General features: G+C 39.6%; 1 protein-coding gene across 4 annotated transcripts in view, besides 2 other annotated features; it reads right to left on the minus strand.

The window, feature by feature from the left end:
- Positions 1-16,786, minus strand: part of SPPL2A (signal peptide peptidase like 2A) — a 63,441-nt gene that overhangs the window by 9,293 nt on the left and 37,362 nt on the right. The window contains exons 11-15 of one of the 4 annotated variants that reach the window (NM_001438111.1): positions 14,763-14,819; positions 14,515-14,568; positions 13,663-13,765; positions 10,566-10,643; positions 8,382-8,542 (exon numbers count right to left, since the gene is read on the minus strand). In NM_001438111.1, the coding sequence (NP_001425040.1) occupies positions 8,382-8,542; positions 10,566-10,643; positions 13,663-13,765; positions 14,515-14,568; positions 14,763-14,819 (453 nt within the window). The remainder of the gene's footprint in view (positions 1-8,381; positions 8,543-10,565; positions 10,644-13,662; positions 13,766-14,514; positions 14,569-14,762; positions 14,820-16,786) is intronic. The other 3 variants (NM_032802.4, XM_017022680.2, NM_001438112.1) reach the window with 3 other exon arrangements.
- Positions 7,185-7,329: an enhancer, noted in NCBI's record as "145 bp enhancer 243 fragment used in the MPRA reporter construct; PK_construct_1869". NCBI's record gives its function as "activates an SV40 promoter by MPRA in HepG2 cells {active_cell/tissue: HepG2}" and the evidence as "EXISTENCE:reporter gene assay evidence [ECO:0000049][PMID:23512712]".
- Positions 7,250-7,263: a transcriptional cis regulatory region, noted in NCBI's record as "HNF4 motif; enhancer activity is reduced when this motif is scrambled". NCBI's record gives its function as "necessary for full MPRA enhancer 243 activity {active_cell/tissue: HepG2}" and the evidence as "EXISTENCE:site-directed mutagenesis evidence [ECO:0005528][PMID:23512712]".

Here is a 16,786-nt window from a genome sequence, read left to right on the forward strand (position 1 = left end):
GATGAGAGAAACTCACAGTAAGGGCTGAAAGACTCGAAGTAAGATCCTGAAGTATTTCAATAAGGTCTCCAAGTTACAAGTGAGGTATAAGTTGCCCCCTAAAAACAGCATGGAAAGACTGCCAGGGGTACCTGGACATTTAAAGAGTCTCCAGTGAAAAGTCCTGCTTTTTACTACCAATAATCTTGCACTCAACTCTATTATCAGGCATTCGAATGAACCAAATGACTAATAGTATAAACAAATTTGCCTTAGCCTTAGATTGTAACTTTATATTACCTGTTTTGTCTTTGATTATTTCAAAACAGCAGCAAAAACTTGCAATATTTACAAAAAAAGATTGCACATAAAGACTGTAGAGATACATGTCTAGTTTAATGTTTTAAAAGTGCCTCACTTTTACAGTGGCATATGACAATTACAGTCATTTTATAAGGGCTGCTGAAATACAATCAGGAAGCTTATACACACATGCAAAAGTAACTAAAGGCCAGTGGATGAAGGATTGAGCATTAGAGGTGCACTGCATAAAGACTTTCAATAACATTACCTGAGAATTTACAGCATAAAGACTACTGTCATAAGCATTGTGGATTCCTAATACGTAACAGCTAATACTTAGTGAGGGAGGCATATATAAATACCTGCACTGCAGGGCAGATGTTAGTAAGTATTTAAAGTACAAAGTCTAAAAAATTACGGTGAAAGGTAAATGTGATTTTAATTGGAGCGCCTACTTCCTTCTAATTTCTTAGAGATCTGCTTGGAGAAGGCAGAATTTAAGTTGGGAGTTAAATAGGGATATTCTGGAAATAGAAACTGACAAAGCTTAGGAGATGATGGAGGTTGGGAGAGAGAAGCAAATGATTATTATTACACTGTTAGCCTAAGAGATGAGCCAGAGCTGACCCTCAGGCCCATCTCACAGTGGAACCATATCAAGTCTCCCTCTGTCTCACCAGGCATGTAAAAGCTCCCCATTCTATTTCAGAAGTCTCTGCCTAGCCTTAACAGATTTCAACATCCACCTGCCTCACACCAAGCCTTAAGCTAACCCACCACTATGGATTTCCTTCCTTCCTTTCCTTCCTTTCCTCCCTTCCTCCCTCCCTCCCCCCCCCTTTTTTTTTTTTTTTCTCGAGGCGGAGTCTTGCTCTGTCACCCAGGCTGGAGTGCAGTGATGCGATCTCGATCTCGGCTCACTTCAACCTCTGCCTCCCAGGTTCAAGCAATTCTCCTGCCTCAGCCTCCCAAACAGCTGGGATTACAGGCGCCTGCCACCACACCTGGCTAATTTTTGTATTTTTAATAGAGACAGAAGTTTCACCATGTTGGTCAGGCTGTCTCAAACTCCTGACCTCGTGATCTGCCCGCCTTGGCCTCCCAAAGTGCTGGGATTACAGGCATGAGCCATCATGTCCGGCCCCACTATGGATTTCTTATTCCCCTACCTCCCTGTAGATCCAATCTCATTTTATGGATGAGGAGACAGTCTTCAGAGATTAAGTTATTCGTCAGAACTGATGTCAAAGGCCACAATACACTGTCTCCCACAAATGACAACATTCAAGGTAAGCTAATTTTGATTTTAAATGTTGGACATAAACAATGAGAGATTTTCTTTTTAAAAGGGAAATAATTTTGTAAAGGCATTATATTACATAACTTTCAAAAATGCTAGTTTTCTGAAAAAATACTCTTTCCTGAGTATTTTTTTTTTTTTTTTGAGATAGAGTCTTGCTGTCGCCCAGGCTAGAGTGCAGTGGCACAATCTCGACTCACTGCAAGCTCCGCCTCCCAGGTTCAAGCAATTCTCCTGTCTCAGCCTTCCGAGTAGCTGGGACTACAGGCGCCTGCCACCATGCCCAGCTAATTTTTGTATTTTTAGTAGAGACAGGGTTTTACCATATTGGTCAGACTAGTCTCGAACTCCTGACCTCAGGTGATCCACCCACCTCAGCCTCCCAAAGTGCTGGGATTACAGGAGTGAGCCACCGCGCCCAGCATTTCCTGAGTATTTTTTTTTTAACATCCTGCAAGTTGCCTAAAATTTGAGCAAATGTCCCTTCCCATATTTCAACATTTTGTGCATAATGAGAAAAATGACTGAGTCTAAACATAATTTTTTCTCTGCAGCTTGTGATAGCTCAGAATTTGTTCTTTTACGAGTAAGTTAAAGGAAGCAGATTTAACAAAAACCCAAAGTTTTCATATCCAGACCAGGAAAATGAAAATTTAGTCAATGAGTCGAGAAATAACCAAACCAACAAACAACAAAACAAAAAATCCTCACTCCTACAAATAATGATAGCAAATAAATTCACAGCACCTATAAGCAATCTGTAGATATTAACATATTTATTACAGCAACCCTCTGAAATAGGTTGTTATCCCATTTTACTATGTAGAAAAACTGAGGCACCAAGAAGCTAAGCAACTTGCCCAAGGCTACACAGCTAATAATTAACAAAATTAGAATTCAAATTTAGGCAGCCTGGTACTAGACTCTATGCTCTTTACTTCTATGGGTTATTTTGTATTCTGAATGTCTTTACCTAATACAATTACGATACTACACTAGAAAGTGAGAATTTTATTAACAAAGTTGGCCTATGTTTTTATACGCTTTTAAACAGATTTTCCTACAATCAAATGCCTTACTTAGCTACTATGTTATATGGTAAAGCTCCTGATGTCTGCCCTCCTGGGGCTATTATTACTTAGTGACTAGCAACAGTGTTCTTTCCCTTTGTAGGTAGCTGCTGTGAAGCAGAGGCAAATTTTTTTCTCAGGCCAGGAATGGTGGCTCACGCCTATAATCCCAGCACTTTGGGAGGCCGAGGTTGGTGGATCATCGAGGGTCAGGAGTTTGAGACTAGCCTGACCAACATAGTGAAACCCCATCTCTACTAAAAATACAAAATTAGCTGGGCATGGTGGCGCATGCTTTTAATACCAGCTACTTGGGAGGCTGAGGCAGGAGAATCGCTTGAACCCTGGAGGTGGAGGTTGCAATGAGCAAAGATAGTATCATCGCACTCCAGCCTGGGCAATAAGAGTGAAACTCCATCTCAAAAAAAAAAAAAAAAATTTTTTTTCTTGGCCGGGCACGGTGGCTCATGCCTGTAATCCCAGCACTTTGGGAGGCCAAGGCAGGTGGGTTCACCTGAGGTCAGAAGTTCAGGACCAGCCTGGCTAACATGGCGAAATACTGTCTCTAGTGAAAATACAAAAATTATCCAGGGATGGTGGTGCATGCCTATAATCCCAGCTACTTGAGAGGCTGAGGCAGGAGAATCGCTTAAACCTAGGAGGTGGAGGTTGCAGTAAGCCAAGATTGTGCCACTGTACTCCAGCCTGGGTGATAGAGCAAATTCCGCCACCCCTCCCCGCCCAAAAAATTTTTCTCAAGATCATGATTTTTAAGAAGTTTTTTTTGGTGTTTTTTTTTGTTTAGACTGTGTCACTCTGTTGCCCAGGATGGAGTGCAGTGGTACAATCTTGGCTCACTGCAATTTCTGCCTCCCAGGTTCAAAAGATTCTCCTGCCTCAGCCTCCTGAGTAGCTGGGGATTACAAGTGTGTGCCATCATGCCAGGCTACTTTTTTCTTGTATTTTTAGTAGAGATGCGGTTTCATCATGTTGCCCAGGCTGGTCTCGAACTCCTGATCTCAAGTGATCTACTAGCCTTGGCCTCTCAATGTGCTGGGATTACAGGTGTGAGCCACCGCTCCCGGCCTAAGAATGAAACTTGGATGGTCCAGGGCAAAGCATTTGTTCACTGGGAATACAAATGTAGCCCTTGGTTGAAATCTTTCCTTAACTACAATCCTGTGTCAGTAACAATTATGGAAAAAGAAGGAGGAAAGGTGCTAGAATCAACCAGAGGAAAAAATGTGCTGTAGAATATTTCCAAAGAAATGCAATGTTAATAACTTTATGTATACAACAACTCTAAATATTCAACTATTTCCAGTATGAGTTAGCACAAAAAGATATGGAAGCTACAAAGAAAGAAACTGTTTACAGTAGCTGCCCGTTAAGGGTGGGGGTGGGGGAAGAATGGTTAGAAAAAGGACTCCCATTTTTACTTTAGACACTTTTGTATTGCTTATTTTAAAAACACAAATATGCACTAATTTGTAATTAAGATACAAAAAAGAAAAATTACTAAAATGCAATCAGTAAAGGTCTATGTAAAAATTTTAGTAAATTAACTACCAATAATATTAACCTACAAGACATTAAAATAGAACAAAGAAGACTAGAATTACTATAATGAACATCTTTTCACATCATTTTTGCCCAAATTTTTAATCATTTTCTGAAAATACCTTAAGAGAAATTACTGGGTCAAAGTAAATAACAAAGTATGATATATGCATATAAGGAAATATTATATAGCCATTAAAATAATTTTATAAGGAATTTAAAATAAAATATAAAATGCACTGAAAAAGAAAGAGAACTATTTATAGTATCATTCACTCGTCTATCCATTTATCCAGAGAAGGCACAGAAGGAAATTCACTTAAACCTTAACTATCTCTAGGTAGTAGGATTATGGGCGGACTTAATTTTCCTCTTGTATTTTTAAAAAATATTTTCCAAATTTTCTATAATCACATATTTTTATTTTTATTTATTTATTTTTGAGACGGAGTCTTGCTCTATCACTCAGGCTGGAGTGCAATGGCGCAATCTCAGCTCACTACAACCTCCACCTCCCAGGTTCAAGCACTTCTTCCGCCTCAGCCTCCCAAGTAGCTGGGATTACAAGTATGTGCCACCATGCCCAGCTAATTTTTGCATTTTTAGTAGAGATGAGGTTTTGTCATGTTGGCCAGGCTGGTCTCAAACTCCTGACCCCAGGTGATCTGCCCGCCTCAGCCTCCCAAACTGCTGGGATTACAGGCGTGAGCCACTGCACCTAGCCTATAAGCATATATTTTTAATAATAAAATACTTTAAAAGCTGTATGAAAGGGAAATGAATTTTTTATAAGTAAAAATAAATTCTGACAATGAAAATAACAAGAAACATAATTCTGTAAGACAGCACATGTGCTCTCACTAACAATCCTAAATTTCAATTCTAAACTAAACAAAGATTTAATGTCAACTCACAATAAAATTTCCTGATGTTGCTTGTCTTCTTTGTCCTGATTTACAGTTAATCAGATAAGTACCCCTAATAATAGAAATCTCTTGCTCACAGGCCTGTCCTGAGTCTTTTCTTCTGCCTCTACATTCTCAACTCTTTATTCTGTATGCTAATGGTACTCCCAATTATCTATCTCTAGCCAGGTCTGTCTCTTGCACATCAGACCTATTTATTCAACTGCCTATTATTTCTCTCTTTGTGGTGATCCAATAGGTACTTCTGAAATGTTCAAGACTGAATTCATCATCATCTTCCTCAACCCTGTTGCCTTTCCTTCATCACCATCCCCCCACTCAGTTTCCCAATCCAGAAGCCCTGAACTCTACTTCTTTTCCTCCACCCATACTGACTCCATCATGAGGCCCTATTATGCCTCTAAATTTCTCTTAACTTTGTTCACGTCTTTCCATCTCACTATTTTGCTAATTTAGGCTTCTATCACTTCTTTTTTGTTTGTGTTTTTGTTTTGAGACAGGGTCTCACTCGCTCTGTTGCCCGGGCTGAGTGCAGTGGTGCAATCATGGCCCACTGAAGCCCCTATCTTCCGGACTCAAGCAATCCTCCCACCTCAGGCTCCCGAGCAGCTAGGACCAAAGGCATGTGCCACCACGCCCAGCAAATTTTTTCTTTTTTGTAGAGACAGGGTCTCACATGTTGCCCAGGCTGCTCTCAAACTCCTGGGGTCAAGTGATCCTCCTGGCTTAGCCTCCCAAAGTGCTGCAATTATCAGGATAAACAACCATGTCTGGCCTTCTATCACTTCTTATTGCAATAATTGTCCCCAGTTTTGCTCCCTTAATTTTCTAGATTTCTTAAAACCTTAAATGGTCTCCAGTGCTTAGTATAGAGTCCAAACTCTTAAATGTGGCTTATAAGATGCTACATACAAGGCTCTCACTCTTGCTTCCTTCTCCAGCTTTCATTTCCTGTAACTCCCGTAACCCTCTACTCAGCATTATAGCCATCCTAACCTTCACTGAGTTTCTAGCATGTGCCATGTTCTCTTCCCTCTGAGCCTCGGAAGACATGGTTCCTTCAACATGGAACACACAGCTCAGTCTTAAAGTCTGGACATAAATTTAATATTCTTTAGAAAGCCCTCCCCAAATCACCTAGGACTCTTTCCTGAAACCACAAGCACTGGATATCCCATCTATAGTTTTCATGGCACCTGCCGTAACTAATAGGTTTATCACACTTTATTGTTAGTGACTTTATGTCTATTCCTCACTAGACTGTAACTTTCGTTTTTTTTTTTTTTTTTTTTTGAGACGGAGTCTTGCTCTGTCCCCCAGGCTGGAGTGCAGTGGCACGATCTCGGCTCACTGCAAGCTCCGCCTCCCAGGTTCACGCCATTCTCCTGCCTCAGCCTCCCGAGTAGCTGGGACTACAAGGCACCCACCACCACACCCGGCTAATATTTTTTTTGTATTTTTTAGTGGAGATGGAGTTTCACCGTGTTAGCCAGGATGGTCTCGATCTCCTGACCTCGTGATCCTCCCGCCTCAGCCTCCCAAAGTGCTGGGATTACAGGCATGAGCCACCGCGACCGGCTAGACTGTAACTTTCAAGAGGTCATGAGAATAGGCCTCTTTCCAACTTGATCATCTTGTATCACCAATACCAAAAATAGTATCCTCTCATAGAATCACTCATAAACATTTGCTAAATGAAGAAATATAAAACCATTAAAAAATGATGTAGAGTACTTTTTGAGATGTGATTTTTAGATGTTATTAGCATAGTGTATATCATAGGATACACTTTATTTTTAAAAATCTATAAAAAACCTATGTGAGTGTCATCTTCAATAGAAAAGTTAAAAGTTACCTTACTAGTTTAGTCAAGGGCATTAGGATCATAAACTAATTCTATGTATAACAGTATAAGTTGAGACAACAGCTTTGTGATGTAGGCAAGACAGGTATTATTAGCTTAACCAAATCTCAAAGAAATGTTAAGATTTCCTCAAAAGAATTCTAAACCAGTGTTTTTTCAAATCATAGTAGTCTGTAACTTAATGTGTTAACCACCTCTCATTAAGTAACACTATAAATGACATGAAAGACCAAGCACAAGATGGACATGGACTTTGAACTGTTTATCTACTATCAGAGTTTCAGCCACCCATCCAAAGTGTCTCTCTTTTTGTTCACGTGTCAACTGACACAGAAGCATGAGGGTGGATGGAGGAGAGTGGTAGTTGTAATAGGGGAAAGCAGAGCTAACTGCCTCACAAAGTGCCTTCATGAAGGGGTCAGTGCCATGGCCCTGACCTCAATAGGCTAGGGTTTCCCAACTCTTCTTAATTTCAATGCAAACAGACTTTACTGGAATACCAAGAACATTTAGGGGGAAAAAAAAGAAAAGGCTTTAACTTTAATGAAGAAACCACTCAAGCAAAAGAGACCTTGGTATCAAGATTTTCTTTGTTTAGAAATTTTAAAGAAAGCTCAACCTTGATTCACTTAAATCTCAAATGAATGCCCTATCTAGTTTGGTTAGGCCCATTTAGATGCTGAAGAGGACACTTTTTTTTTGAGATGGAGTTTCACTCTTGTTGCCCAGGCTGGAGTGCAATGGCGTAATCTTGGCTCACTGCAACCTCTGCCTCCTGGGTTCAAGTGATTCTCCTGCCTCAGCCTCCCAAGTAGCTGGGATTACAGGCGCCTGCCACAACACCCGGCTAATTTTTTGTATTTTTAGTAGAGACGGGTTTCACCATGTTGGCCAGGCTGGTCTCGAACTCCTGTCCTCAGGTGATCCATCTGCCTCGGCCTCCCAAAGTGCTGGGATTACAGGCGTGAGCCACCGTGCCTGGCCAGAGTACACTTTTTATCTGCAAAACCTTAGGACTCTTACTACAAATAGCTAATGCTTAGTCTCAAAATTAAGTACTTATTTTAAACAACGAATTTTATCTTTCATGAAGTCTGCTTTTGTGTAGGTTTTGAAAATACATGTTGAAATGCTATTTTGTTTTCCCTGATGTCCTCTGCTGTTTTTTTTTTTGTAGTTTTGTCTTGAATCACCAGGCTTTTGGCATTAGATTGCAGGGGAGGTCACAAATGATGATTCAATAGGTGGACAGTGAGTAAGGGGGTATTACAGTACTTTTTGGTACATAAAAGCTTTGCTACATATAGGCTGTTCCCACCCAAAATCAGTCAGTAAATTAAGCCATAAGATAACTTGGTAACCAAAGTATAAGCACATACCTGATAGCTGTTACCTTTCCAGAACTTTTTCATTTCCTTACGTCTCCAGGCAACAACTGAGGCAGTAATAAGTGTGCAAGGTACTAAATAGAGGAGAGCAGGTTGCCCCTTTTTCATCAGCACCAGAACAACAAATGTAAGTATCATGCCAATAGCATAGGCTGCAAGAAGAATACCAAGCTATAAGTCATTTCTACATGTTACCAAAGGTGGGTTTTTTCCTCTGTCATTTATGTACTGGTTTTCAAACATTTCTGAGGATATTTTTGCTCTATGACTTCTTGTAATTTCATCATTTTCCTAGATAGGATTAGGAGACATCTTCTATGGAGCTTTTGAAAAATGTGGAAACTGGTTAGCATTTCAATTATTACTAACCTAACCATGTATCATTGATAAGAGATAATAATTCATGAGAGCTTCAATTATCTGTTGCTATTAAAGATGTTAAATAGTTTCATATTTTAGATAACTAAATCTGTACCAATAGGTAATATAAGTTGTTTAAAAAAAATCTTCCTAACACTGATTACATACTTCCTAAGCTTTGTTAATAAGCACATACTTTTGAACTTTTCTTTTTTTTTTTTTTTTTTCGAAATGGAGTTTTGTTCTTGTTGCCCAGGCTGGAGTGCAATGGCACGATCTCAGCTCACCGCAACCTCTGCCTCCTGGGTTCAAGCAATTCTCCTGCCTCAGCGTCCCAAGTAGCTGGGATTATAGGCATGTGCCACCACGCCTGGCTAATTTTGTATTTTTTAGCAGAGACTGGGTTTCTCCATGTTGGTCAGGCTGGTCTCAAACTCCCGACCTCAGGTGATCCACCCGCTTCAGCCTCCCGAAGTGCTGGGATTATAGGTGTGAGCACCGCGCCCGGCCTGAACTTTTCTTAATGACTCAGGGTTTTACTAGGAACATAGGATCTCAGAATATTCCCTTTATAAACAATTTAGTATAGTTTCTAATTTTAAAGATGAGGCAATGGAGGAACAGGGAGTTTAAGTTGTCCAAAGGTACACAGGAGAATTAATGAACACTCCTATAATCTGCCTTTGGATACTAATATGTTAAAGCCCTGGAGAGTACCATACTTAGTGGCCTCAAACTGCTTTTTTTGAGATGGAGCCTCGCTCAGTTGCCCAGGCTGGAGTGCAGTGGTGCAATCTTGTCTCTTGAACCCACTTCCCAGGTTCAAGCAATTTTCTTGCCTCAGCCTCCCGAGTAGCTGGGAATACAGGTGTGCACCACCATGCCCAGCTACTTTTTGTATTTTTAGTAGAGTTGAGATTTCACCATGTTGGCCAGGCTGGTCTCAAACGCCTGACCTCAAGTGATCCACTTGCCTTGGCCTCCCAAAGTGCTGGGATTACAGGCATGAGCCACCACGTCTGGCCAGCCACTGTGCCCAGCTGAGACTGCTTTTTGAATTTCTTTATACTTTTTTTCTTTTCTTCATCTTCTCCCTCACTTAGCTATTTCTTTTCTTTTTCTTCCTTTCTTTTTTTTTTTGAGACAGGGACTCAATCTTTCGCCCAGGCTATAGTGAAGTGGTACGATCATGACTTACTGCAGCCTTGACCTCTTGGGCTTAAGCGTTTCTCCCATCTCAGCCTCCTGAGTAGCTGGGACCATAGGCATGACCACCACACACAGCTAATACAAAAATAATTTTTTTTTTTTTTTTGAGGCAGAGTCTTGCTCTGTCACCAGGCTGGAGTGCAGTGGGGCAATCTTGGCTCACTGCAACCTCTGCCTCCCAGGTTCAAGTGATTCTCCTGCCTCAGCCTCCCCAGTAGCTGGGACTACAGGTGCGTGCCACCACGCCCAGCTAATTTTTTTTGTATTTTTAGTAGAGACAGGGTTTCATCATGTTGGCCAGGATGGTCTCAATCTCTTGCCCTTATGATCTGCCTGCCTCGGCCTCCCAAAGTGCTGGGCTTACAGGTGTGAGCCACTGTGCCTGGCCCTAAAACTGTTTTTTTAGAGATGGGGTCTCACTATGTTGCCCAGGCTCATCTAGAACTCCTGGGCTCAAGCAATCTGCCTGCCTTGGCCCCCAAAGTGCTAGGACTCCAGGGGTGAACCACCATGCCCAAACTGTACTCCTTCTTTATTTTTAGACCTCTGTCTTTTCCTCCAGACAATACAATTCAACATTTAATACAAAGAAAAACAAAAATTTACCAACTGTAGACGAAACATAGTATATGTAAGAAGAACCAGTCTGAACATCAAATCTTCTACAGTATGCAATCAACAGGCCTTAAAAACAAAACAAAACATTATTTTCTTAAAACAATAACAGCAATGCAAATTCAATTGTTAACAATAGTAAGTATATGTTATATTGAATCTTCATTGTTGCATTATAAGAACATTCAAGTACCTCAAATTCTTGACAAAATTTTATATGCTGATTTTAAAAATACTTAATACCATAGTTTAAACATTTCCTCAAGCTATTAAATAGTTTTTAACTATCATTTTTATCAGCTGCTCAATATTCCATGTCATGAAGAAAACTTTTTTTTTTTTGAGACGGAGTCTCGCTCTGTTGCCCAGGATGGAGTGCAGTGGCGCGATCTCGGTTCACTGCAACCTCTGCCTCCCGGGTTCAAACAATTCCCCTGCCTCAGCCTCCTGAGTAGCTGGGACTACAGGCGCGTGCCACCACACTTGGCTAATTTTTTGTATTTTAGTAGAGATGGGGTTTCATCATGTTGGTCAGGGTGGTCTCGATCTCCTGACCTCGTGATCCACTGGTCTTGGCCTCCCAAAGTCCTGGGATTACAGGCATGAGCCACCAAGCCCAGCCATGAAGAAAACTTTTAAAATTTATCATTAAAAAATATATTGAACAGACAAATGGGTTTACATCAAACTAAAAAGCTTCTGCACAGCCAAGGAAACAGTCAACAAAGTGAAGAAAACACCTGTGAAATGGGAGAAAATATTTGCAAACTATGTATCTGATAAGGGGTTAACACCTAAAATATATTAATATAAGGAACTCAAACAACTCAATAATAAGTAAACAACCCAATTAGAAAATGGGCAAAGGATTTGAGTAGCTAATTCTCAATAGAAGACACATAAATAGCCAACAGGTATATGAAAAAATTGCTCAAAATCACTAATCATCAGAAAAATGCAAATTAAAACCACAATGAGATATCGCCTTACATATGTTAGAATGGCTGTTATTAAAAAGATGAAAAGTAAGCCTTAGAGACGATGTACCAAAAGGGAACCCTGTACATTGCTTATGGGAATGTAAATTAGTGTAGCCATTATGGAAACCAGTATGGTGGTTCTTCAGAAAATTAAAATTAGAACTACCATTAGGTCTAATAATCCCACTACTGGGTATATATCCAAAGGAACTGAAATCAGTATGTCAAAGAGATATTTGCATTCCCATATTCACTGCAGCATTATTCGCAATAGCCAAGATATGGAAGCAACCTAAGTGTCCATCAACAGATGAATGAATAAAAAAATGTGGTACATACACAGACTGGAATACTATTCAGTTGGGTTTTTTTTGTTTTTTTTTGAGACAGAGTCTCACTGTCACCCAGGTCAGAGTGCAGTGGTGTGATCTCAGCTCACTGCAACCTCTGCCTCCTGGGTTCAGGTGATTCTCCTGTCTCAGCCTCCCAAGTAGCTGGGATTATGGGCGTGTGCTAACACACACAGCTAATTTTTGTATTTTTAGTAGAGATGGGGTTTCACCATGTTGGCCAGGCTGGTCTTGAACTCCTGTCCTCAAGTGATCTACCTGCCTCAGTCTCCCAAAGGGCCGGGATTACAGGCATGAGCCGCCAAGCTCGGCTCATGCTTTCATTTGTGAATATGCAATTATGCAGAAACAACTCATTTAATATCTATTTCTTGTAAGAAATTTGTTGAACCTTTTCTTCTTCCCAAAGAAGAAATCTCAGCTTGTCATGTATTGTCAGTACCTCTGCTCTTTGGAGAAATATTTTTGTTTTAGACCTTTGACATTTACTTCAATAATGTAGTATTTATATGCTATTTTTACCAGTTCTATGCCAAGTTCTATATAGAAGATCTTGTATAGCCCTTGGTGTGGAAATGGTAAAATCAGGCATAAGTTTAATGATATTCAAAGAAGTGTAAGGTTACTCAATAGAATGTTTTCCTTATTTTATCAATTATGTGAATCAAGATTCACTGAGCTAACATGTCAACTTGCAAGGCAACGCTGCTAGCTTTTCTCTCTCTACCTGGTTTTACTATGTAAATAGAAGGGCTTTTTCAGAAGCACCAGTACTCCTCACCCATCCACCACAGGCAGTTAGTACATAGGAAGACTAAGAAAAATGAAGAAGGAGCCGGCGCGGTGGCTCACGCCTGTAATCCCAGCACTTTGGGAGGCCGAAGCGGGCAGATCACAAGGTCAGGAGATCGAGACCATCCTGGCTAACACGGTGAAACCCAGTCTTTACTAAAAATACAAAAAAAATTAGCCAGGTGCGGTGGCAGGCGCCTGTAGTCCCAGTTACTCAGGAGGCTGAGGCAGGAGAATGGCGTGAACCTGGGAAGCGGAGGTTGCAGTGAGCTGAGGTCATGCCACTGCGCTCCAGCCTGGGCAACAGAGCAAGACTCCATCTCAAAAAAAAAAAAAGAAAAATGAAGAAGGAAAAACTCAGTTGATAGAGGAATATTATTAATTACTTCTAAACTAAATTATTAATGGGCTTGGATTAAGTTTATTCTACAGACAGAGCAGTGAGGAAAGTAAGGCAAAACTACACTGTCAGAGCAGACATGCTAAGAGATGGTGATCAGTTCCACTATAAACTGTGTCTTTTTGTATTACGCAGTCCTACAAGCTGGTGTTCTTCTATGTTTCTCCTCTTGATCACAGCCTTGCCTAATATTCTTAAACCCCTTTTTCTAAAACATAACTATTATCTTAAAATATAAGTAATATAAACTATTTGTTTGGCATTATTATATTCAACTTCTAAAAAGAGTCACAAATATACTTTCTTGAAGAAGAAGGTTAAACTGATCCTAGTTGCTTTCTCTAACAAACTTTTTGAGCCATGGGAGCTATTGCAGTACTTTAGTTGTTACCATTTGGGCTTTACCTTCTACCCCTCAACAAGCTTTTTTGTTATGACAATCTCAGCTCTAGTGACAGCCAGAAATAGTTAATACAGAGTAGGTAACTTTTAACAGATTCTATACATATGACGATTTAAAATCATCAGTGTTTTTTTTTTTAACTAAAATTGTTACAATTGCTTACCTGGTACAATAATGTCTCCAAAACCCAATATTGAAACAGGCATGAGGCACACACTCATTACTGAGAAATAGATCAGTTTTGGTACTCTGATGACTACTGGCAACTGTTCAAAAACAAAACAAAACAAAACAAAACAAAACAAAAAACAAAACAGAGGCCGCCAATGAACTTCTTGGCAATCTTTACTCATATCTTTTATTTACTAATTTATTTTTTGGAGACAGAGTCTCGCTCTGTCGCCCAAGTGGAGTGCAGTGGCGTGATCTCAGCTCACTGCAACTGCAACTGCAACCTCCGCCTCCCAGGTTCAAGCAATTCTCCTGCCTCAGCCTCCCAAGTAGCTGGGATTACAGGCATGAGCCACCATGCCTGGCTAATTTTTCTGTTTTTAGTAGAGACAGGGTTTCACCATGTTGGCCAGGCTGGTCTCAAACTCCTGACCTCAGGTGATCTGCCTGCCTCAGCCTCCCAAAGTGCTGGTATTACAGGCATGAGCCACCGTGCCTGGCCACCCATATCTTCTAGAAATGGAATGATTAACATTAGAATAGTTCTTTTGACAGTTTAAAGGAACTTGAAATACTCTGTTTCTATCTATTTCCAAAAGAAAAAGATTAGTTTTGAAAAAAATGCTCAACACACATGTAGGATTAACAGTATTAACCAAGTATCCCCACATTTAACCTTTTTTTTTTCTCTTTACCAAGGATAGAACTCAGGCCTTGAAACATAGAAAACAGAACAGGCCTAATTTTTTTTGGCAATCTGGATTTTTTTTTCCCCCAAAGAAGAGTCTTGTCTCAGAGGGTATGATTTAAAGTCCAATGAACATATCTAAAATACAATCCTTACTTTCTCATGGGGAGCTGAGGGTTGACCAGTGGCTTCCACCAAGTTTCCATCATTCTAGGATGAAACCCAAGTCAATAGGTATTTAATAATTTAGAATAACTAAGAAAAGAGCTATATTTTCTGAGAAATAAGTTTTACAATACCTTAACATGCACTATGTGGCCAGTGAATTACACAGGAAGGCAAATTATTAACCGGATACACATACATACACTGGATAGCCATTTCTATTTCATTGCCATCCCTACCTTTTCATTATTTCCAAAAGGTCCAGCTGCGAGTTCAACCATGATACTCTCACCATTCTAAAATTGAGAAGGAAAAGAAGTTGTCTAATCATTTAAAGAGAACAATCTGCCACTATTCAAGTGTGATTTAAGCCCCATGGCATATGGCCAGTTACACTGATTGAAAATGGGCTGCAGACTGCTTTTTTCCTAAAGTCTTTGTAGATTGCAAAAACTGAAGTCATCTAAAACAAAGTCCACCTAGTACAGTTGCTCCACTTTATCAGAGCTCAATAATTCTCAGAAATTGGCAAATGAATCATGTAAAAATAATTCAAGTGAACCCTCAGTTCTGATTTGTAATGACATATTCATATCTGACATTTGTAATGGGTTAAAAATTTTAGGTACAGTACTTTTAGTTACATTATGCCTTATACTATATGTTCTTAGCAGTTTTCAGTAATGTCAGTGAAGAAGATCATACTAAAATCTTTTACACTTAGCTTTGTAAAAAATATTGGTAACTTTATTTGAATAAATATACATCTGACCTTCTGGCTACTCACCACAATAACAAAACAATGAAACCAAACTCGAAAAGACCCAACCCTATAGAATCTGAGAAGCTTCTCTAGCCTAACTCTCATCCAATTTCAGCCCTGCCTGCTTTCTATGATCCAATCAAAACATTAACCTTAGCTAAATTTCCCTCCCTTGTGCCTGGATAAAGTCTTTTTATGTGGGTTGTGTGAGGGGTTCATTTAAAAATTTTTTCCTGATAGCCAAGTCTGTTGTGGAGAGGGAAAACATTGTGAGGCAGCAAGCTAAGACTGCATGAACCACTCATTTTATCATTCGTATTATTGTAGTGTATCAGCAAAGCAGGTACAGGGAAGATAAACAAATGCTGAATTTCAGGAAAATTTGATTGACTAACTATAATATTTTCCATGTGGGTGGGGTGCACAGGAGAAACCACTTGAGTGTTTTTAAAAGGACCTCACTGATTCCTGAGCTGAGCAGAAAGGAGGATAAAACCCGTAGCTGCAGAAATCTTCTGCGCATGTTAAGCTTTGGGTTACAGAGGGGTTAAGTCAAAGGAGTTTAGGAAAATAAACTAATACTAAGTACAGTTCCTTAAAGCAGATTCCCAGGTTGTGATAACATTTCCAGATAAAGAGTTCATTTTGGTTCACTTTCTAATTGTTATGTAAAACATTTAACTGAAGACCATCATTGACATCCTCCCATACATTTAAAGATACCCGAGTAACTACTACTTCTAAGACACAATACTGAGCACAGTGGTGGACGGAAAAAAATGAACAAGACAGGCTCTTATTGCTGTACTCTTATGGTGACCTGCCTTGCCAACTCACTAGAAGGCCACTAATACTTGGGTCAAGAACATGTTTAGAATATGCAATATTTAATCCTTCAAATTTACAGTGAAAACCAGGAAAATCAGCAATCTGATTTTTGAGTTACCTACTAAACTAAGGCCTGCTGCCTTAATAAAAACAAACAAATCAGACTCAGAAGAAGGTATTAAAGTAAATCTACAGCAGTGAACTCCAAAGAGCGAGCACTTAGCTTTTTCCACCACATTAGGTTGCTAGAAATCATGTTCCTAGTCAGTAGGAACTAAGATAGAAATAGGAAGACGAAAAATTTCTTAAGCACAAAAGAAAGAAGGCTAAAAGACACCTTTATTTTCATCCTATACCTTTAAAATTCTGAAACATTCTATGTATATGGAATGCAAACAGTTTGCTGGGGCAGATATGTTTATTCACAAAGTGAAGAGTAGTGTCAGAATGGAAAAGTTATTTTAAAAAACAGTTTAGTTACAGTTTACAGCTGTATCTACTGTGTAATATATGTGTCATATGTTATGGATTATCTGTTGATTTATGGAAATGGCTTTGTAGAGGGAACATTTCACTTTTGCTATGAGATCTCTCATGGGGTATCCTACAAAAACACACTTTTGAACCAAGTTAAAAATACCCTAATAAATTAACAATTTTATTTTTTATCTT

The sequence above is a fragment of the Homo sapiens genome, chromosome 15, assembly GCF_000001405.40.
Source record: "Homo sapiens chromosome 15, GRCh38.p14 Primary Assembly".
NCBI lineage: Eukaryota > Metazoa > Chordata > Mammalia > Primates > Hominidae > Homo > Homo sapiens.